The sequence below is a fragment of the Homo sapiens genome, chromosome 5 (assembly GCF_000001405.40).
Source record: "Homo sapiens chromosome 5, GRCh38.p14 Primary Assembly".
Lineage (NCBI taxonomy): Eukaryota > Metazoa > Chordata > Mammalia > Primates > Hominidae > Homo > Homo sapiens.
In genome coordinates, this window is record NC_000005.10 from 82,730,144 (window position 1) to 82,754,235 (window position 24,092).

The window sequence follows — 24,092 nt, forward strand, 5'->3', positions numbered from 1 at the left end:
TACTGGGATTTTTGACTGTGCTAGGCATCAGTCCCCCAGCCCCCAAGTTGCTCAATAGTCAACTATGTTTGCTTGGTTGTATTTTTTGGCGCCCCTTTTCCTTAGTGCTTTTAAACACTAGGCAGGGTATAAGCATGGATATAGATTAGACAGACACAATTCATGCTGATAGTATTTAAAGGCATTACCATCTAATTCTATGTCTCAAATTATGCTCCAAAACCCAGTAATATTGACTTTCCTTTGTGGCTTTAATACTTTAAATTGATTTTAGAAAGGAACTTGACCAAAGAGCCATTATTACTCAAGAACAATGGTTCTTACACATAATGTGAATCATTTAAAAAATTCTAGATTTCTGAGACCCAGGTTCTGAGGTAGGACCTATGCAATGTGCTGTGATTACAGAGGATGCTGCTGTCAGCTAGACTTGTCCCTGCAGACAGCACAAACCTCCAAATATTTCAAATAGAAATTCCTGGCCAGAAGGTAAAAATGGTATGCAAATACAACCCTTACTCTCTGAAACTGGGTCGTTTACCTCCAGTTCTCCTGTCTTATGAGCACCTCCGCCGTCCTCCCACTTCTTGAGATTAATACCACAAACACATCACACACACACACACACACACACACACACACACACACACACACACACACACACACACCCCCCTCTCCCTGGAAACACAATGTTACCATTTTCTTCTCTCTCAGGCTAGTCGGTGATAAGAACTATGTTTAAAGGCCAAAATAGAACAAAGCTAACCTCCTTCATTGCAAACGCACAAGATGCCATTTAGAAAAACATTGATGCAATCACCCTGGCCCTGTTAAATAAGGGGACCCTAATGTGGCCCGCGATCAAACTCACTTCCTCATTAAGAGCACAAGCCTAAGGTAAGACAGAGCCTCCTTTGTTTAAAAAGAGGCTGTGTGAACTCTGCCACGGGTCCCCAGACACCCCTAAGTCCTCTGTTCTGAACTTGCAATTAAATCGTAAGAAACCAGGTACCACAGCAGCAGCAGTTTGACAGTAGATTCTTTCAGCACCAGCCAGATGTGAAAGGCTTTGAAAGGGACCAAAAGACACTCCTGTTGCCCAGGGAGGCAGGAAACGGTAACCTCTGGTTTGCAGCCCTACCATCATCTGATAATGCCGTTTCTAATATATTTCAATTCACTTTAATAATAGCAGCTGTTTTTTGCAAAACCAAAGGTTATTGATTAACCCAGAGCAAGTAGGAGGTCACTATTTGATTTGTTATATTTTTCAGCCTAAAATGACTTAAAAACAGCTCAATAGGAATGCTCACATCAGTGATATTTTACTACTTTCTATGCTCTTTTTGAAGTGTGAATAGAGTTTCACAAATTAAAGGGAAAAACGTTTTCTTTTAAAAAAATTGTAGGTTATTTTCAGAGAATTTGCTCTATGGAGAGGCATAATAAAAAATCTTCCTCCGGGAAGACTGTATTATAGTGTCACTAAATTCAGTTCTATTCAACCTCTATCAGCAATTTGGAAGATGTAGAGGATGACTTTTTACTGTCTGAAATTACACAAAGCTTAGAGGGATATTTAATGTAATAAGCTACTTCAAGATGAAAAATTATCTTGACATTAGAATCAATAATACAAAATTTGTCAGCAATAAATATGAAAATTTACATTTAGGATTTAATAATCAATTATGCAAGAACGGAATAAAGGAGGCTGGGTTCCTTTGAATTCATATGAGAAAAATGCCTCAGAGTTTACTTTATCATAAGTGCACTAGGAATTGGCCACATGGTTTGGCTATTTAAAAATCTAACATAATTTTGGACTATATTAATAAAATGTAATTTGTATATTTAATCATTTTGTATTTACCCTAGTTGGACCATATCTGCAGTATTACAGTAAACTCTGTACCTTGCATTTTAAGAGTGACTGGGCTTGTCCAGATGGTTCAAATATCAAGGAATTTTAAAATTCCGTCAGAGAGTGTTAAACAAACTGAATACATTTCTTCTAATACTGCCTCCCAACCAGCATGGAAAAATACTGTTCAGCATCTATGCCTGATGGTCACTTATCTTGTTTAGAATATGTTTAGTTATACAGAGATCATTACTCTGCATTGTCAGGCAGGTCTCACTTTAAACTCCTTTCGAACTCTTCCTCGTGTTATTGCCACTCTTTAATTCTAGATTATTAGTAACCTATTTTTCCTTGCACTTTCTCTTGACAAACCATTATAAACTTGAAAGCCTACTATGGCTTCTTCAGAGGATGTAAAGAGATTCTTTCTTTCTTTCAGAAAAATCAACTTGCAAAAAAAAAGAAATGTATTAGTCCATTCTCATGCTACTGACAAAGACATGCCTGAGACTGGGTAATTTCTAAAGCAAAGAGGTTTAATTGACTCACAGTTCCACATGGCTGGGGAAGCTTCACAATCATGGCAGAAGATGAAGGAAGAGCAAAGGGACGTCTTACGTGGTGGCCAGAAAAGAGAGAATGAGAACCAAGTGAAAGGGGTTTCCCCTTATAAAAACATCAACTCTCGTGAGACTTACTCACTACTATAAGAACAATATGGGGGAAACCACTCCCATGACTCAATGATCTCCCACCGTGTTCCTCCCACAACACATGGGAATTATGGGAGCTACATTTAAAGATGAGATTTGGGTGGGGACACAGCCATACCATACAAAGAAAAGCTTATATTGATAAGCAAAGCTTATCAATACAATAATAAATATAGATGTCCATAAAGTATTTAAGACCCCATGGTAAATACAGATTATAATTTCAGAAGGCTATTATTTAATTACTGATAAATAATCAAATTTTTAAATTTGATCAATTTTAAAATTCTTCACCAATTTTTATGTTTTGTCATTTGAGAGCCTTGGCTGATCTTTAAACATGCTTAGTAAATTTACCTGAAAGACCCACTTCGAATTGGTACAGGATACTCCTCAGCATTCATTTCCTATCTATTCAATTTCATGACTAAAGCAAGCTGTAGCTGGTGGCTTGAGAATTAGTTTATTTTTGCCTTTAGGGAAATTTAACAAATAAGTAATGTTCTGACTGGTGAAAGTAATAATTTACTATTTAAATTAAATTATTTAATTAAATAATTAAAGGTCCTAATTACTATTTACTTCACTGAAGACTTACCACACACAGGTAAAGAGAAACCATCCCATGGAAGTTCAAGCTTCCCCTCTAAAGTGTAAGTCTGCTGAAATGAATTGACAATACACATTAACAGAAGAAAAGCCATAACAAAGTTATTCGATCATAGTTTTATATGACATGAGAGTTTTCACATTGATGACCCAAAGGCTCAGGGTGAACTATCCATTTTTACGCTTAGGTTCTATTAATCATGGACAGCCATGTAGGCATATGATTAGGCAAAAGGCTATGATCTAATAGTAATAGACCACGGGGGAAACGCAGCAAGGCAGGTTAGAGCAATATTTTTAGAGTCACAGTTTTAGGTCTTATGGCTGGCTTTGGGGAAAAGGGATCCTGGTTTCTATGACCGCCTTAAGGAAGAGAGATTCTAGTTTCTATGGTGTGCCTCAGGGGGAAATGAAGGATGAGAGACAGGAGGGAAGGAGAAGGCCAGAGAAAAATTTTGTTACTTCTGAAGTGTTCGCTTTGGGGTATCATTGTCTGAGCCCAACACTATCAAAGATCATGGGTTTTCATGTCATGTCATGTTTGTAATTAATGATTTAAGGCCTATTGAGAGAAAGAGGAGGAAGGAACATGCAAGAAGTGGGAGCTAAATAATTCCAAATTAGAGCCAGCTCACTAATACCCCTAAGTATCAATATACCAAGCATGTTGAGAGAATCTCACACCTCAGCCCTCATGTGTTAAATGCTCCACCTGCCTCTGACACAGGCGATGATCTCAGAGGCAGTCCCATGTCCTTAGACTTACCTCCCAAAAGGAAATTTGTTATCCATCACTCCCCTACATTCTTCAGACAGCTCTGGTTTTTCCAAGTAGAACTTTCTTCAGTCTATCTGTAGCAATAGCAGAAAATATTTCCTTGGCTTCCAAATTCAAGGAGACTTGTGCATAGAAATTCTATTTTTTTTTTTTTTCATTTTTGGTAAGTTTTAGTGTCAGGGGCAAATGTCAGGTTTCCCTGAGGTCATTTGGGAATTGAGGATGTCCCCATGTGAGATATTGCCGTACATGAAAAGGGCTCTGGGTGATAGAGAGACAAGAGAGGAAAAGAGAAAAGGAGCCATGTGGAGACTGGAGGTCTTGGGTGGGAGTGCTGACAGGCACTGGGTGGGGAGGCCGAGTTTATTACTCTGTTAACAGGTTCCTTTGTAAATTCATCATTTGAGGGGAGTCCTGACGCAAGGAGTGGGAACTGAGAAAAGAGAAAACAGGAAATACACGCCAACAATAAAAAGCAGGCTTTCAAATGAAGAACAGAACATCCAAAATTTCAGCAATGAGAGATGTAAAATTCATGGAAACACTGACTCACGAGGTCAGTTAGCCATAGTTTAATGTCTTTAGTTCACTCTTTCTTTCCCTTCCTCAAAAGGAAGAATAAGGAGAAAATAAAAACTTTTATCCATAGTATATAATATCAAATGAAGTATATTTCAAAGCATTGCACAGAATTAACATCCTTGCTACTTTAATGCTGTAGTTAATTGTCTGGCCTATATGAAAAACTGAAAAATGAGAGAACAGTGAAATGAAGCAGATGCCAAAGGATTCTGGAATGAGAACAAAACACATCAATAATCCATGGGCAGATTTTCAGAAGTTTACAGATGATAATCCTGAAATATTGATTCAGCATTTGTTTTGTTTAGGACAGTCTTAAGTACTTAGAAAAAAAAATCTTAAAATATATATGCCTAGTCAAAGATTCAAAGAGCAAAATGAAGCTATTTATCTCCAATCAATGTATAAGCATGTAAATTTTTTTTGTAGGTGACTAGATAAAGACAGAGAAATCTAGAAATGCCACAACCTTTTAAGGTTTTGAATTGCATTTCAGAGAGTCTGATAGTACACAATATTCAGAAATTAAAGAGACGGTTCCCTTCTACTTTCTTTTCAATCGCTGCCTCAAGAACAGGGGACCTTTGTTACACTCCATGGTATACTGAGCATATGTATGGGAAATATCCTGTGTGGCTTAGGATGAAATAAATAACCTCCTGTGGTCACAAGCCACTCTGCAAAATGGCACTAAGAAGACTGAGTTTAAAGGCAGAGGCCTTTAAGCATGGCCTTTGGAATCAATTGGTTATTAACATTGTTATAACACAGTTTAATTTTTATATGAACATTAAATAACACTTATTGAACAAGCTCAATTTCAGGACTTTTCTCCCCATTTATCTCACAAGTTTTTTTTTTTTTTTAAAGGCAACAGAAAAGGTCTCCCTATATTAGAAGTCCTAGAGTGACAGAGGAAATGAGTCATCAAGATAATTTATGAACTTTCCCATAGCTTGCAATGCACGAGCATAATAATCCTTTGTTATTTAGCCTACTCAGAGACCAAACTCCAAGACCTTGATGGAACACAATTAAAACAGGATTTCTGTAGACTCAAGTCTCTGCTTCACATCCAAAAATGGTTTTACCTTATTGCAATATACTCAATTAATTTTTTTTTTTTTTTGAGACAAAGTCTCGCTCTGTCACCCAGGCTGGAGTGCAGTGGCGCGATCTCGACTCGCTGCAACCTTCACCTCCGAGGTTCAAGAGATTCTTGTGCCTCAGCTTCCTGAGTAGCTGGAATTCCAGATGTGCACCATCACGCCTGGCTAATTTTTGTATTTTTAGTAGAGACGGGGTTTTGACACGTTAGCCAGGCTGGTCTCGAACTCCTGGCCTCAAGTGATCCACCTGCCTCGGCCTCCCAAAGTGCTGGGATTATAGGTGTGAGCCACGGTGCCAAGCCTCAATTAATATTATTTACTATTTTTCACTTTTCTACTGTAGTCACAACAAGCTAGTCTCGGTAAGAAATTATTTTTAAAATGAATTTTTAAAAAGTTTCTGGGTTTTAGGAACTTATAATTCATAGGAGAAAAAGAGAAGCCCCAAACAGCTGGCATACTCAGTAAAGTATATGGTGAAAGTCACAGGAGAGCTTCAAAGTATTAGAAAAGAGGTAATTTGCATTCCAACAGATTTTTGTTTTATTTAATAATTGAAGCTTCTGGATCAATGGGGAAAAACGAATCAGGCATGATGTTTAAAACTCTGGTTATTTTTGAGAATCTTTTGATAGGGAGTCAAAATGATGTTCTTCAACTCATTTCCAAAGAAAAAAGTGTTCAACAATCTTAACGACCTAAAAGGTGTGTAGAGACTTATATTGTTAAAGATAGTCACGTTTTCCATAGTTTTGTAAAACTGTACTTTCTAAATGCAATTGTACTTTCTAAATATACTTTCTAGGTATAGTAGATATTACCTTAAATATTCTCCCGCCTGTGAAATGTCATTTAGCTTGACTGGGTGTTGAAGGGTGTCCTCCAGGCTCAGAGCAAGGATAGCCTTTCACATCCTGTCTCCTCTCAAACACTGTGTCTTAAGGCACCTATCCTCAACACCTTGGAAAATTGGGCAAGGCCTGGCCTTCTGTCTGCCACATTATTTATCATGTGGATGTGATCTATTGACAATTCTAGACACCACGCATGGGAATAGGGGTTTCTAAGTTAACCCATCAACTTCTCTCCTGAGCAGCAAGAAACTCCATTCTATTTGGTAATATTTGCTGAGTCAAATTCTGGTTTGGTAAAAATATGTTAAGAGTGGATCCAATTCAGTCCTGAAACACATCTATGCACTCCATGAGGACCACACTGGATATTGTTTAGGCCAGTGCTTTTAGTCCTGGCTATGCTAGCCCACTTACCTGCCTTCCAGGAGACTGCTAAACCGCATGTCTGCACATGAGCACAGGTGTGTGCTCATCACACACAGTTCTTACATTACATGAGGTTAGCTCCCAATTGCTCATTAGAATGTTAAATGCATTTTCCTAAAGGTTAAGCACTTACCAAATTATGCAAAACATAAAGATTAAGAATATTTTTTTCCCATTCCTAGACTATGGGCCTGTAGGAGTGAAAAGGTAATAATACCTTTTCTTCATATATTATGAGAGTCATGGCCAACACTCCTTTAACAAAAGACAGGTTAGCAAGAGAAAAGCATAACAAAATTATTTAACAGTTTTCTAAGACATGGGAGCCTTTAGAAACGGAGACCCAAAGACCCAGGAAAAACTGTGTTTTATGGAAAGTTTGAAGAGGAATGGACAGCCATGTGGAAATGTGATTGAACAAAAAGGGTATGATCTAATGGCAATAAGCTGAGGGTGGGGTGATGGGGAGCAGTGTGGGAAAGGGAGTGGTATCCCAGCAAGGCCTGTCTGTTCAGGATCTTCTTGTCTTCTCTGTCTAGCACTCCTTCCCACCACATATGGGGCAGAAGTCCTCTGGAATGAGGGTCTTATGACCTATTTTGAGGCAAGGTAGGTCAGATAATTCTTTTACAACCATGCTTCACACAGAAAGGTGGAGGAAAGGCAGAGTGACCTTGCTTCTGAGCCCCACCCAATCTCCTTCAGTTCAAAGCACTTTGGGATAGTGTTTTCTGAGCCTGACAGGCTCTAGTTTTTGGTTTGAAAAATGTGATCACCAAGTATATACAACAACGCTCCTGACCCACATTAGTAAGGCATACTTTTTTGCAGTTTCCTAGTAATAATCAATCCCACTTAATTATATGAGAATAATAAATGTATTTGTAAGATGCTTGGCTAGATCTTGAAATATTGTTTGAATCAAGTTACAGCCACTACGTGGAATAATTGGGGACAAAGGGAGTATTTTTTTGAAAATGATGCACTACACAACTAGGAAACAGTAAGATGCACATAAGTCCCACACAGGACCAACAACTCGAAAGAAACCAGTGCAATCACAAAATTCTACTCTATTTTCCCATCGCTCAGATGCTTATAATCCCTTTTCCAGGAAAGCTTTTCCAAAATATGATTCTTTTAAGGCATACAATTTGTGCACCCATGCACTGCTTCCAAGTCGGGCACTTCTACTTAGAAAGATTTCTACAATATGTGGGATTGACTCTTATGTTCATTGAGGTTAAAAAATTGCTAATTAGCCAGGGTGTTTAATAATAATAAAACACCTAGACCTGATGATTCAAGTGCTAAACCTAACTTTATATTATGTCAATTTAACAAATAATAAATAATTATTTTTTTACTTAAAGGATGAGGTGGGGTGGAAGAAGCAGATTTTTTTTAATAGTCTACTATGAGTTATGTATTTTACAAACAGTATCTTCCTTCCACTACATAACAAGTTCTGTTCTTATCCCTTTCTTACTTAGGAAGAGGACATAGAGACTCAAAGAAATTAATAACTAGCCTGATGTCACACAGCTAGTAGTCAGCAGAGCTGAAATTTGGTATTTGCTTGGCTGCAAAATCCAGGCTCTTTTCAAAACTCCAAGCTGTTTCTTTCTTACCCAAGTTGGGCTGATATTGCCCAAATGAAGAAGAGTAAGCCAAAAACCTAAAACCAAGGAAAGGCAGGGGGGAATGTCCCTGTGTGTTCCACGTTTACTTTATTCTTTCCTGGCAGCTCAAATAACCACAGAATCCCTGGTGATCCTAAGCATTTGACGATGACTGTGAGAAGCACTTGCATTGAAGAACTAACTAATCAACTAAATCACTCCAACATGTAGTACATTGCAGCCTTCGTTTCACAGTATGCCTGGGAAAATGAGATATAAAAGAGAGAAAGTACTTCAGGTCCTTTTATTGGAGTGGAAACATAAAAGAGGAGGTTAAGCAATAACACATATGAACAGTCATTTGCAATTACTTCTAACGCAATCTGGATCCATGGGTCATATGATCAACTAGCAGTTTGGGCACTTCAAGGCATAATAATTTCCTCTCTTTTCATAGATCAGAGTCATAGAATAACTCTCCCAAGTCGTAGGTTTCTACATGTCTCTATAATTAGCCTTTTGGCGCTACCCAGTCTGCTTTTTAGCCTTTTAAGTGATCTTCTAACACTTTTCTCCAAAACCTTACGCCTGTGGTTTGCCAAATCTCCCACAGGTCTTCTTCTTAGGAATCACTTTCCTTTTTCTTATTTTTGCATTGTTCCCCCTTATTAATGACAGACTAAATTTACCAGTTGGGAATCTTCTTAAGGACAACATGTAAATCACGTATTTAGGATTAAAGTGAATTTCCAAAATGGTTATGTATACAGATGAGCCCAAAAAGTCCAGTTAATAAATGATCTTTCTGAGTTGTGGAACTGAGATACCATTGAGCCTATCTCTAAACATAATTTATAGCAATTTATAGCACTGTTTTTTTATCAGAAAAAGAATGTGTTCCCAGTTCTATATCCATTTATTTACTAAACACATATTAATGAATGCCTACCTGGGGCCAGATTTTATGGATAAAATGGTAAGTAAAAACCATGAGTTTCTGGAGCATTCAATATAGTGGTTGAAATAGTCAATTAAACACATTTATATACACCCCAAAACATATGAGACAGTGCAGGATGCTACTGAATATACTGCAGGGATATGTCACAGCCTAAATGATGGACAAGAGAAAGCCAGGTAAAAGTAGTGACAAAGGGAAGGGAAGAGGTGACAGGCAGAAAGAACATGTGTGAAAGATGAAGCAGAAGAGAACACAGTTCACTGAAACCACTTTGGAAAGCTGAGCAAACTGGAACTCAGGTACAAAAAAAATTAGTGACAGGTGTAGTGGGGCAGGTGAACATTGGTTGGAGTTCACAGGGTTTGGAAACTAAGTGAAAGGGTTTATAAACATATTTGAAATTTAATAGGACATGGCATCCTTAGCAGCAAGATGAATGGATAGACAACAACAATATTAAACTATATAGTAAAAATAAATGAAAGGGAATAGAGAAAATTAAATAGCCTGGAGGAAGCTATCCAATATAAAGTCAGGATCCCTTTCCTGGTTTTAGGAACTGAGCCCATTTTTAGGCTCAGAGCTTACTGACTGTGGGAGAGGCCAGATTCCTAAGGAAAAGGATCCTGCAATATCATGGTAATTATAAGAAGTAATAATGCCCCCAACCTTCTCCAAAGGAGGCCAATTGCTCATTTAACTGTGTTCTTGAAAAAGGATAATACCCAGATATGATGAGGTCTACAGTACATAGGGTTGAAGTTGACATTGGTACCAAGGGACCTAAAGCATCAAGGTGGCAAGTTGTTTCCATTGAGCTTTTTCTATACTAGAAAAGTCAGTGATTTGTCTTGGCTGGAATTGTCATGAATTCTGAGACAGGGCCTCAGCCAGCACCACTCTTTAAGGGCTTACAGAGTGTTTGATGCACTAACATGGCATCCTATCTATCACTCAATCAAACAAAAGAACACACTTTAAAATAAAAGTGAGGATGCAGTGGGCACATCCCCATGGGATTCACTGATCCTACCACATACTAGAGCACCTGGAAGTTGTCAGGCTGAAAAACAACAAAACATCCTTGTATTGATGCAGCTGAAGTAGTGGTTTGGAGATGATACTCATGAAGATGAGGTACATTCCTGCAGCACAGAGTCAACCACAAATCAATGACTATCATTTGTTGCTTTGTCCTCACTGAAATCCAGAAATCAAGAAATCAAGAGCAGAAACAGGAGTGGCCCCACTTATTATTGTGCCCAGTAATCCACTCCCTACATGGCTAGGGTTTACAAGCATGCAGTAGCTGCAAAGTCTTCTTAAGATGTAGGTATAGAGCTGGGACAGTGATGTTTCTGCTACATTTCACTGGTTAAAGCAGATCACAGGGCTAGTCCATAGTCAACAGGTATCCATTGACCTTTCCAGCATAAAGAGGCTTAATGTAAAAACTCACCATCTTGATGCTTCAGGTCCTCAGGTGTCAATGTTAACTTGGACTTTGTGTCCTGAATTCCTCAAAATATTCCAGTATTCTCTTTTCCCTGGAATACAGTTACATGAGTAAATTGTTATAAGCCCCATTGGGGAAGTCTGGGGGAATTATTATTACTCTATATACGTACCATGATGCTGCAGGGTCCTTCCTCCTGGGGACCTGGCTTGACTATGTTGCCCTCTTTAGGGACAACAAAAGGGCATGAATACTGGGAGTGCAATTCACTGGGAACCACTAATGTGTCAAACTACAACACTCTCAAAAACTGAATTCACCATTTCCCTAACATTATTGATTGGAAATCAGATTCTATCCTGTTTCAAAGGCAGTGACTTAAGTAATCTTCCAACATTGTATAGGAAAGCACCTCTAGGGTAAAGTGAGGGCTCCCCTTCTGAGCACACAATACCTGTTGTCTCCAAGGTAGGATTGCAGACGTGGGTTAATTAGTACAAATATCCTAGGTCTTTTCTTGTGTGGTCCTGTATTTCTGCCTTAGGGTTTTGTGTTTTTGTCAGGTAAACTTTTTCCTGGTAACTGTAGATCCTGTAAATATTCTTAATGTCTAGCTCCTCTGACACTTCTCTCTCTCATTTTTATTTATTAATATTTGTGGATAGGTAGAGGAGGGAGAATCAGGAGTAAATAGTTTCCTGTTTTCATAATTAAGAACAAGAGTTTGGTTCAGTAATTTAAGGCTAGGGTTAGTGAGGGAAGTCAGTGGGGAGAGGAGAGGATGAACAGCATAATCTAGGAAACTTTTCAAATTATATAGTTTGCTCTCTCGAGTTAGTAGAGAGCGGAGAGAGGGAATTTGAGGACCACCATTATTATCTTTTTAATGCAGAGCAGGTTGCAAATATAATCCTTACTTTCCCAAAGTTTATTATTGAGGGATATTTATCTATAATTTTCATCTAAACCCTAGTTTATCATTTATAATTTTAAAGTTCTTTTAACCACAAAATGTTTCACAGAAGCTGACTTTTAGCAGTTAACATGAGCTATCATTGCTTTTTTTTTTTTTTTTTTTTTTTTTAAGAGATGGGGTCTCAACATCTTGCCCTGGCTGGTCTCAAGCTCCTGGGCCCAAGCGATCCTTTCGCCTCATTCTCCCAAAGTGCTGGGATTACAGGCATGAGCCACTGAACCTGGCCTATCATTGCTTTTCGTGAAAGTTTTTCTTATGTCTGTACATACCTGATAGGTAAGATAAAGTATGAGATACAGTATGAAAATTTTGAAGACATAGAATGTTGTTTAGAAAGAAACTTAAAATTTGACAAAAAGTAAATGTATTTTCAGTACCCTATCTGTAGGCCTCTTTAGATACCTAAAATTACATTGTTAGTTTCTCAACGGGTATGATTTATGCATTTATCCTTTACACAGTGACTTTAAGGGATGTAGTCTCTGGGTCAAATTATTATTATGAGTGAACTGGAGGTTTCTGGGTTTTCTGCATACCACCAAAGTAGCTTGAGTCTTTGATCATGCTAAAAACCAACTGTCCTAAATCTGTCAGTGTACCCCTGCCAAACTCACAGTGAAAAGCGTCCCCTTGATAGCTCAAATTCCAATTCAAAATTTGGATTCTAAATGGAACCCAAAATTAAAACATTTAACAGGAGATGATAAATGGTTAATATAAAAATATGCTTAACTCCTCTCAAAGTGAAATGGAGATTAAAACTAAGCCAGGATACTATTGTTAACTATTATATAGGCAAAGATTTAAAATATTCCTAGTAAACAATTTTGAATACTCTATAGGAAGACAGGCATGCTTACATATTGTTGACAGGGGCATAAATTGGATACTTTTAGATACAACTGTTATTATTTTTAAAGACTTTGTTTTCTACAAAGATTTCAGGAAGTGTTATGGCTCTGTTTTACTCTAAAATGCAATCTTGAAAACAAATTTTTAAAGTTTTTACAAAATCATATTCAACCTAATCTCTTCCCACCATGTTCCCAAAAACATTTCTTACTTTTTTCTATCTATAGTCATCTCCAGATTCAACCATTTCCATCACTATTGACCTCTGCCTGCAGTCCACTAAAATGATCAGATATCCTGGAACTGAATCAGTGTGTTGATTAACTTGTTGATTACCAGTCCAAAAAATTCAGTAAGTGTTTTGCATGTCTTGCCAACATTTTAAATTTGGGTACTCGGGAGGCTGAGGCAAGAGAATTGTTTGAACCTGGGAGTTGGAGGTTGCAGTGAGCTGAGATCGTACCACTGCCCTCCAGCCAGGCAACAGAGCGAGATTTCGTCCCGTCACCCACCCCCCCAAAAAAATCTGGGAGTGTTCACATAAAAACCTGTATTTCTGGCCATCCTTAAATACTGGCAACTGAGTCTATATTTCCATATAGTGTCAATATAATAAAGCTGATGAGCAGTCGCTGAAGAAAGTCACATGTAAAGGAGCTTAGGAAATATAAAATCTGACTGCACAGCCATGTGCCCGGCAACAATTAAGTCTACCCATATGCAAGAAGGGGAGAATGAGATCTTACGGGTTGCTAGTGATCTCCACAATACCATTAGATACACAGTTTATCTAAAGCAAAGACAAAATGCACTTGGTATTCAACATTTTTTAAATGATTTTTTTATTCATTAGAGGATGGCCTTTCAAGAATGAGATTCCAGTTCCAAAATGGCAGCAGAGAGGCAAGAAGATTTCTCCCTGTGCCACTATATATGTATATATATATGTGTGTATATATATATATAGTGGGTATATATACGTGTGTGTATATATATATAGTGTGTATATATATATATGTGTATATATGTGTGTGTGTGTATGTGTGTGTGTATATACAGTGCTGAGATTTTCACCAGTAACGTGACAGAACTCATATACAAGGATGAGACAGTTCCTAGGGCCACAGAGAAGTTAAAAAACTGACAAGATGGTAAGAGAATCAGATTCCATATATGAGATGTCCCTCTCCCATTCTGCCTGGCACCAAGCTGCTGGAAAATCTCCCGCGAACTCACAGTTTCTACACTGGAAAATTGAGTTTGAGGTGGACAACCAGCTTCTCCACCATCCTGAGTTCCCTGGCAGAAGTTTCTACACTGGAAAAGTGAGTTTGAGGTGGACAACCAGCTTCCCCACCATCTTGAGTTCCCTGGTGGAAGACTTTCCCTGCTTTAACTCATGGAAGTACTGTGAGTGCCTAAAGAAAGACATGTCCCTGAGGTTAGGCAGAGACAAACAGGGGAGGCAGAACTACCATCCCCAGCCCTGGAAACTCTGCTCTGTAAATGGGCCAAAGGAAACACCAAATTACATTAGCTGTTCAGCAGCGCCATGCTGTACGAGGTATGTTCCACAGGCCCCTGGATACAAACCTCCAGCCAGACTTCCCACACTGCCAGGATAATCCCTTTGGGACCTCCCCCATTCAGGATAGGCAGCACTCTGAACATTTGCTACAGGTGAGGCCAACCTGGGCTTAAAGTACCACCTAGAGCTGAAATGGAGGCAGCAACCTAGCAGTAAAGATTTGCTAAAGAAACATATCCAATAAATAATGAAACAAGCTGTACAGAGAAAACTGGAGTAAATAATTAATCCTTCAATGCAAGGACATAGACGTATACCCACAAGTGACAACATCACATAGAGAATCAAGAATGAGGACTTGCTATGGTTTAGCTCTGTGTCCCCACCCAGACTGCATATCGAATTGTAAACCCAACATATTGAAGGAGGGGCTTGGTGGGAAGTGATTGGATCATGGGGGCAGCATCCCCCTTGCTGTTCTCATGATAGAGTTCTCACAAGATCTTACGGTTTACAAGTGTGGCACTTCCCTGCTTACCCGCTCCTGCTCTGCCATGGTAAGACGTGCTTGCTTCCCCTTTGCCTTTCACCATGATTGTAAGTTTCCTGAGGCCTCCCTGTCATGCTTCCTGTTAAGCCTATGGAACTGTGAGTCAACTAAACCTCTTTTCTTCATGAATCACCCAGTGTCAGGTAGTTCTTTATAGCAGTGTGAGAACAGGCTAATACAAGACTCAAAGCACATGTGGAAGCTTGATGAAGAAAAATAGCTACGTGCTATAAAAATACCAACCCATTAAGGCTTGATGTCACCCAAAAAGCTGGTGATTCTTAGTGAGTCAGTGCATGGTGCACCATCAAACTCCTACTGTGGTTTACACAGGGTTTCTGGCACTGCTGACATTTGGGGCTGGATAATTATTTGTTGTGGGTGTTGTCCTGTGCATTGCAGGGTGTGTAGCAGCATCCCTGTCTATACCTACTGGATGCTAGGAGTACCTTCCCATCCTTACCCTCCACTGCGGCAACCAAAACTGTCTCCAGACATGGCTAGGTGTCCCCCAGAAGCAAAATTGTCACCATAACACTGGCTGGGGACCAGTGGCTTAACTATAAATCAAAACTATGATTTTTATAAAACATGCTTTCAGTTGACCTCTTCTTATGGATGTATTGTTAACCCTCCATTTAATATTTAAACAGGTTCAATACAACACCACCTGCATTCTGAAAGTGATTTCTGTTAGCATCAGTAGTCTCTTTCCTTACTTTAAATTGGATTCTGCTGCTTCAGATGTTTTCAGTCACCGTTTATGAATCATTCTTGACATCAAGGTTTGGATTATTAGGTTAAGTAAAAAGCAATTTGAAAATGGTTCAGTGGTGGCAAAAATAAGACATTTATGATGAATGTAAATTATGCAGGATCTTAAGGTTGTAAAGAGTCAGCAACCCCTGTTTTTGAAGAAAGTTGACTGCGTATCAGTTGAGCTTTAACTCAATAGTAATACCTCGAGTCCAGAATTCGTCTAATCCTGTTGAGATCCTTGTTCATCTCCGACAAGATCAAAAAGCCACCAAGAAAAAAGGTTAAAAAAATTTTTCTACTTACTTTTTCTACCTTTGGATTGAAACAAATATTTAATTATCAAAGCACTAGCTAGATTCTATGGAGACTACAGGGTTCCTTCTTTCAGGGGGCTGATGGTAGGGGTAAGAGAGGGGAAGGTGGTTGGGAGCCTTAGCAAGACTTCATGCTCCTTCCCACCAAACTCTTCTGAAGGATTTAAGGAGAAAGGTCTTGTCACCTAGGACTGAAGAGTATCTCCTTATGGCTTTATCCCCTTGCATTCAGCCTGACAGCAGTGCCTGCCTAGCTCATAGAAAAATTTCCACACCCACAGCCTCTTATGCCTGGGTAGCCACATTTTCTCTCTCCTGCACGCCACCCCCTCCCGCTGCCCAGTAATGGTGGCTGATTGGATTGAGATGAACACGGGGACCCAAGGACATCTAATTATCTGGCAGTGACTTGTGACATTGTCTTGTCCTAAAAGATAAGCTAGACCAAATGTATTTCCTCTTGAGAATTTAATCTAGGAAATATCCAGTGGAAGCTGAAGTTGATAAACTGCATGGAAGAATGCACCATGAGGCAGTCGGGGCCTTAAGATGGACTCAGAGCTATAAGGCATTATGTCAAACTAAAGTTATGAATAAGAAACACATCTATGAGCATACAGAATCTAAAAATTAGAACACATATATTCAGAGGAGAAGAAAAAAATAAATCACTTGGGATGAAAATAAAAAACAAAAACTATTTTTTAATTCCCCCCCTCCCTTTTCACCAGAATTATTATAACAACTCCAGCAAAGGATAATATTGTGGACTGGTTAAGTAGGTCTGCTGTGGAGTCAGGCAACCTGGGTTTAAATCGCAGCTTGTCTACTTAATAGCTGAAGGTTCATAATTATGCAAATTAGAAAACTCTTTATGCAGCAGTTTCCTCCTGCCTCAGAATCTGGAGAGGATAAAACTGAAAGGAGTGCTTTTAAGAATCATTTTCTTATTATTAGGTGAGATTTTGGGGATGCTCACCACCTTTTGTTTCCAAGTCACTGACATTTTCTGGAGACTTCAGTGTCCCAGTAACCTTCCTAGTCCCCGAGTATGTTTGTAAAAGCACCTACCCATTGGAAACTAGTCTCTAGCTGAAATATCACACTCTGCTGGGGGGCTTTGGAGCAAGATGTCACTTTAGAGGACACTGACTACTCAAAACCTCCTGTATTCCTGCACAATACAGCTCCACCTCTTCCAGCCTTAGCTCTTTTTTTCCAAGATAATTGCTCTAGTCCTGACAGAGTTATTGATTTCAAACATTTCCCTAAAATACAAGTTTCCAAATTCGTTTATTTTCTATCTCTAACTGGAGTTTTCTGCATATGTCGCTCCTCTTCGCCTCTCCCGAATCCTCCCCTCCTATAAGGTCTTCCGTGAACTTTTCCCTACTCATTCCACCACACATTAGACTTGCCTTCCTCGAGTCTCCCTGTGTGTGCAGTTCATTTCCACCTGTGTATGCTGTCTGTGGCATTATTTCTAGGCTGCAGGATCTACACAAGACTGCTCCATGCTGTCTAGTACTGTGCCTCAAACACTGTGTTTAGTGAACAACTGTTAATTCTTTGGGGGAGGATCATATTTCTGTCAGTTTGCCACAAGACTCAGCAATATGGTGAAAAACCACCAAAACCACCAAAAAGAAGCTTTATCCATGACTTGTAGGAGCAAGGGAAGATCACATTGTTTCAGGTTGGATTGTCTAGGAAGCAGATTCTGGGATGCAGGTTAATAGGCAGGAGGTTCATCAGGCAAAACTCTCATGGTCAATCACTGCAGAAGGGGAAGGAAGGAAGGAAGCAGGATTGGGCAGAGAGAGAAATCAGGCTGCAGAGCAATTATAACAAGACCTCTGCACACCCCATGGGTGACCTTGAACCCAGCATAGCCCTTCAGAGACTTCCCAAATGGGAAAAAGGGCACAAGGCCTTTATACCCGTTCCCACCCCACTGACCAGTTTTTAGATGTGGACTGGCCTGGGAAGGGGCAGGTCTCTTCAACTGAGGAAAGACCCAGAGAGGGCTGACAATGGAAGCCCATCTGCTGGCATCATTCCCAGCAGCTGGAGGAATTTGTCCTTTGAGGATCTGGGAGACACAGCACAGAATCCAAAACAGACTTCTGCAAAGGCTTAAGAATCCTGGAGCTAAAAAGATCCAGTCTAGACAGTATCAGACAAGGTCCATATCTGTGGCAATAACCTGCTTTTGATTCCTCAGCAGGTTCTCTCCTGCCCATGTCATAAAGTACACACACTCTTCTGCCTGGCATCTAAGCCCCGCAAGGGACAAATCCAAAAACACAAGAATGATTTCTCCTTGGCTCATGGTTTTTCCTCCATATTCATCCTTTGACACCCCAAGCCCTGTCCACCATGAAAGCCAACTCATTTCTCCCATCTCTTCCTCCACTGAGCCCTTGCCCCAGCCTTTGCCGCCAGCTCCTGCCCGGGCACATGTAGATTCTTCCACCTGCTCCATTCATTTGGGTCCCTGAAAATTCCTACTGTATGTGGCTGTATACCTAGGAGATGTGTATAACCTGCTCTGCCTGTGAGATATTAAGCTCCTTGAGGGTGAGAACTGTGTTTCTAACACTTGGCAGAGAGCCGAGTGCACAACAGTCACCCAAGACATACTTACTCCTCAAAACCAGACCCATCTCAGGTCAGCAGTGTAGAAGAAAAAAATGCTCATCAATGAGCCTCACTTAGCTGTCTTCTCACGTGGGTTCCTGTGCTTCAGTAAGAACTCAGAAAGCACAGTTCATGAGACAAAGACAAAGGGGGAGAAATAAAGGAAAAGGCCCCTGCTCAGATGTTCTCCTCACTCACAGCATACTTCAGGACAGGAAATAGAAACTTCCTGCCAATTCAAACAACATTATTTTTGTAAAAGCTTATCCACAGGCATGTAGAAAGAGGTGCACATGAAATGAGTTCATCATATATCATATGAATTGGTTAAAATTGAATTCAAGTAAATCAGAAAATTTTGAAGAGCCACACAATTTTAAAATTCACAGTCATTTCCCGAAAGTACCGTCTGGTAAAATTGGCTTATCACCTCACTTTTAATACACATATGCGATTTCCTGCTTACAGCATTTCCCCAAGGAATGAAAAAAAAAATTACAACTGAGAAAGTTTTATAAGAGGGATTATCTATGGTTTCTGAATAAGAAGGCTTCTGCCTCTCCAAGCACACCTGCAGCTCCTAATGACCGATTTACGCAATTTTCCTCTCTACTTGAATCAAAAATGGTAATAAATGTTGTACATATCTCAAACAGTGAATTTTTTTAATTTTGTATTTACTGGTTCGTGGAAATGATTCCATCTAGTTTACCAAAGTGGAGGGGTAGGTTTGCATGGAGCAATAAGGGATAAGATAGCCAAAGAGACAAAGTCAGTTGAAAAAAAAAAATCTGTGTGTCTGGCTTTCTGTATGAATTATGACTATTCAAGGGGGAAAAAAAATCTGAACATTTGCCAAAAAGACTGGCGTGTAAAGGGACAGCTGGAGTTTTCTGTTAGAGGTTACAATGCATTGCTTGTTCCACAAGGGCAGAATGGAATCGCTTACCACAGCGACCCACACATTGCTTGAGACACTGGCACATCGATACCTCACGAAGCATTTTCTTCAAAAGAAAAGAACCAGATATTTCAGGAAGGTCATTGAAGATGCTTTGACCACAGACATGCTGACCTTACTGATAGAGATTTGTAGCCTTTGTGGCGTGTGGACTTAGTCTCTATAGATGCCTTCATTGTGCTATAACTTTTATACAGGATGTATTGTTTGAACTGCCAACCCTAATTCTAATTCCCTTGGGGACTCAGGAAATTCTAACTAAATAAAATAAAACCCCATTGTATTTTTCCTTGTTTGAGATGCAAATATGCAAATAACATTTTTAACAAGAATATGAATAAACACATAGCACATGACACACAGTTGGAACTTTCAATGGGACTCTAAAACTGAAATAATTTCAACAGCAAAGTAAAAATGAGGGAAGAAAAATGAAAATTGAACCAAAACCATGTTAAAACATCTCTCATCAGAACCAGAGACTCTGCCACCACTGTGCTGGGTGTTCCCAGCAGGTCTGTTTGCTCATCAGCCCTGAGAACACCACTAACCAATCCTGCACGGGCAACCCTCTTTACTGGGGTCAAATGCAGACACTTAGGGAGAATCATGTCTTTTTTAACCCTAGATTTAAAGAAACAAACAGAAAACTTTATTTTTTTAAATTTTACTTTAATTTCTGGGATACATGTGCAGAATGTGCAGGTTTGTTACATAGATATACATGTGCCATGGTGGTTTATTGCACCTATTGACCCTTCATCCAGGTTTTAAGCCCACATGCATTAGTATTTGTCCTAATGCTCTCCTTCCCCTTGCCCCCAACCCCCCATCAGGCCCCAGTGTGTGATGTCCCCCTCCCTGTGTCCATGTGTTCCCATTCTTCAACTCCCACTTATGAGTGAGAAAATGCAGTTTTTGGTTTTCTGTTCCTGTGTTAGTTTGCTGAGAATGATGGCTGCTTCCAGCTTCATCCATGTACCTGCAAAGAACATAAACTCATTCTTTTTTATGTCTGCATAGTATTCCATGGTGTATATGTGCCACATTTTCTTTATCCAGTCTATCATTGATGGGAATTTTGGTTGGTTCCAAGTCTTTGCTATTGTGAATAGTGCTACAATAAACATACATGTGCATGTGTCTTTATAGTAGAATGATTTATAATCCTTTGGGTATATATCCAGCAATGGGATTGCTAGGTCAAATGGTATTTCTGGTTCTAGATCCTTGAGGAATCATCACACTGTCTTCCACAATGGTTGAACTAATTTACACTCCCACCAATAGTATAAAAGTGTTCCTATTTCTCCACATCCTCACCAGTAGCTGTTGCTTCCAGACTTTTTAATGATTGCCATTCTAATGGCATGAGATGGTACCTCATTGTGGTTTTGATTTGCATTTCTCTAATGACCAATGATGATGAGCTTTTTTTCATATATTTGTTGGCCACGTAAATGTCTTGTTTTGAGAAGTGTCTGTTCATATCCTTCACCCACTTTTAGATAGGGTTGTCTGTTTTTTTCCTGTACATATTTTTAAGTTCCTTGTAGATTCTGGATGTTAGACCTTTGTCAGATGGGTAGATTGCAAAACCTTTTTCCATTTTAACAGAAAACATTTTAAAGACTGATTTAACAAATCGGTTTTAGTGAGCCATGATCTGTTCACTATATGTAATTAATGTTCACATCCTAGACTCCCCAAATTGGCAGAACAGTCAGACTCCATCTCATTGGTTAAGCATATCAGGACATATTAATTAAAACATTTATCTCATATTTAATTTGCCTTAGAAAGCCATATGTTTAAATAAGTACTCATGATGCGTATGGAGGGAAAAAATATTTGCTAAGTTCAGGACTTGGAGCATAAACCAACTTCAGGCCAAATGGAGAAGACTCCAGGATTTAGAATGAGAGACTTCTAGAGGGCTGTTAGCTGGAGACTCCATTTGGTTTCCTTAATTGCGGCGTATGTACCAGTGCTTGCGTCGTCTCAGACCATGGCCAGCACTGAAGCTGCAATAATGGCCCAAGAGTTGTTCAAATTCAAGGGCAACTCTGAATCACATAACTGAGAGTGGGCCACTCTCTGGCCATTAAACAACCCCCAACATTCTTTTTAGATCTTTAGCATTTGTCGTGAGACTTAAATAGGAAGAAATAACTATAGTAGATAAATGATGTTTTCCAAAAAGATTCCAGCTACCAGAAGAATCTCCTATCATTTAAAATGACTACTGTCAGGTATACTGAATAAAAATAATCTATTACAAAATTTTTGAATGCTCATATTAATGATAAAAGATCTAAAAGAAAATAAGAGAAGTCCACATTATGTTTAATGCTTTATTTGTTCAGATCACATAATGTTCCAGAAAGTAGTTCATTATTATTTCTATTGAAGAAATCACTTTCTACTTCATTCATGAGGTTTGCTTTCTTTATTATTCCACTGACTAAAGGAGTCCATTTAGCATTTTTGTCATTGATCTTTTATCTTTATTCACATTTTACTCTATAATAGCTTATATGACAGTATATATTTCTTAGAATGGGTATTGTCTGTAAATTTTTACTCAAAAAACAAAAAAGGACATCCCTAGTAATTGATTTAAAAACTATAGTTTGTAACCACAATTATTATCATCATCATCTAAGTTTTTTAAATTGTGGTCAAATATGTATAATATAAAATTTACCATTTTTAAGTGTACAGTTCAGTAGTAGTAAGTACATTCACATTGTTGTGAAAGCAATCTTGAACTGTTTTGATTTTATAAAACTGAAACTCTGTACCCATTAAACAACTTCCTATTCTCCTCTCCACCCAGCCTGTGGCAGTCACCATTCTACCTTTTTTTCTAGGATTCTGACTACTCTCGTTACTTCATATAAGTGGAATCATGCAGTATTTATCTTTTTGTGACTGGCTTATTCCACTTAGCATAATATCCTCAAAGTTCATCCATGTTGTAGCATGTGTCAGAATTTCTTTCTTTTTTAAGACTGAATACTATTCTACTGTATGTATATGCTACATTTTGTTTTTCCATTCATCCACCAATGACCATTTGAGCTGCTTTTATCTTTTGGCTATTGTGAATAATGCTGCTATAAACATACTTATGTAAATATCTCTTCAATATCCTGATTTTAATTCTTTCGGAAATATACCTAAATGTGGAATTGCTGAGTCATATGGTAATTCTATTTTTAATTTTTTCAGGAAGCACCATACTGTTTTCCAAAGCAGCTATGCCATTTGACATTCCCACCAACAGTCCACGACGGTTCCAACTTCTCCACATCCTTATCAACACTTGTTATTTTCTGTTTCTTTGACAGTAGCCAACCTGATGGATGTGAGAAGATATTTCATTGTGGTTTTGATTTCCACTTCCCTAATTATTTGTGATATCAAACATCTTTTTATATGCTTTTTGACCATTTGTATATCTTCTTTGGAGAAATGTCTATTCAAGTCCTTTGCCTATATTTTAATCAGGTTATTTGAATTTTTATGTTGTTGAGTTGTACAAGTTCTTTGTATATTCTGGATATTAAGCCCTTATCAGACATATGATTTGCAAATATTTTCTCCCATTTTCTCTAGGTTGCCTTTCACTCTGTTGATTGTGTTCTTTGATGCACAGAAGCTGTTTATATTTTTAGAAGTTTTCAATTCTGATGAGGTTTAGTTCATCTAGTTTTACTTTTGTTGCCTAAAACCACAGTTCTTCAGTTAGCTTTTTACACTGTATACAAATTAATTAGAATTCTATATCCATCATTGAATTTAGTGCTGCTCCCATTTGGCAATAATTTCCAGTAGTTTTTCAATGTTTTTGCTTCATGGATGAGATGATGACATCATCATTTTAAAGTGTTAATTGAGTTGATGAAAATACAGAGATTAGGGTATATTTAGAGAAAAGAATTTTTTGCCCAGCCAAATTTATGCTACCCACTCTTTTCTGGTTAAAAGTAAAAGGATTTTTAAATTACCATATATTTTAGCTTTCGTAAGCATAATAAAAGGGAGAAAATTATGCTTTAAATATATAATCAGAAATCTATGCATTTGAAACCAATCAACCAATCAAAGCAAAAGATATTATTACTTTCTATAAGTACAATTAACACAGTCTGCCATTCTCCAAAAACCAAATCTTTTGATCTACATTGGGACTAAACAGGAGTTTCTTTGTATACCTTAGAAGCCCTGAGTGCTGAGAAGCTAACTATGCCGGATAAAATATTAAAGAAGCTCTCTTTGTGTTAACAGAGTTATTTCTCAACATTCATGCAAGACTTAGTACCCCACTTTGGTGAAAGTACTACTGTAGGATCATAGTTTCCTGGTGAGAAATATTGTTGCAAACTATCAATAAAGCATATGTGTGTTTATAGGAAAAGGAAGAAAAGAGTAACAAGAAAGTACAAACATTCGTTATTATTTTTTAATCACCACCATTAAAATCTTTTGCTTACTTCCCTCTATTTCTTTGTGGCATGTGTTCAAAGATCTAC

The 24,092-nt window shown here is 38.5% G+C and overlaps 1 long non-coding RNA gene across 2 annotated transcripts; it reads left to right on the forward strand.

Moving 5' to 3' along the window:
• Nucleotides 1-239: 239 nt before the first annotated feature.
• LOC105379050 (uncharacterized) lies at nt 240-7,358 on the forward strand. 2 transcript variants are annotated; one of them, XR_948503.3, is made up of 4 exons: nt 240-498; nt 715-897; nt 2,304-2,378; nt 4,346-7,358. It is a non-coding gene; the product is annotated as an uncharacterized LOC105379050 (long non-coding RNA). The 2 variants fall into 2 exon arrangements; XR_948504.3 differs by having other exon boundaries at nt 240-489.
• Nucleotides 7,359-24,092: the final 16,734 nt, after the last annotated feature.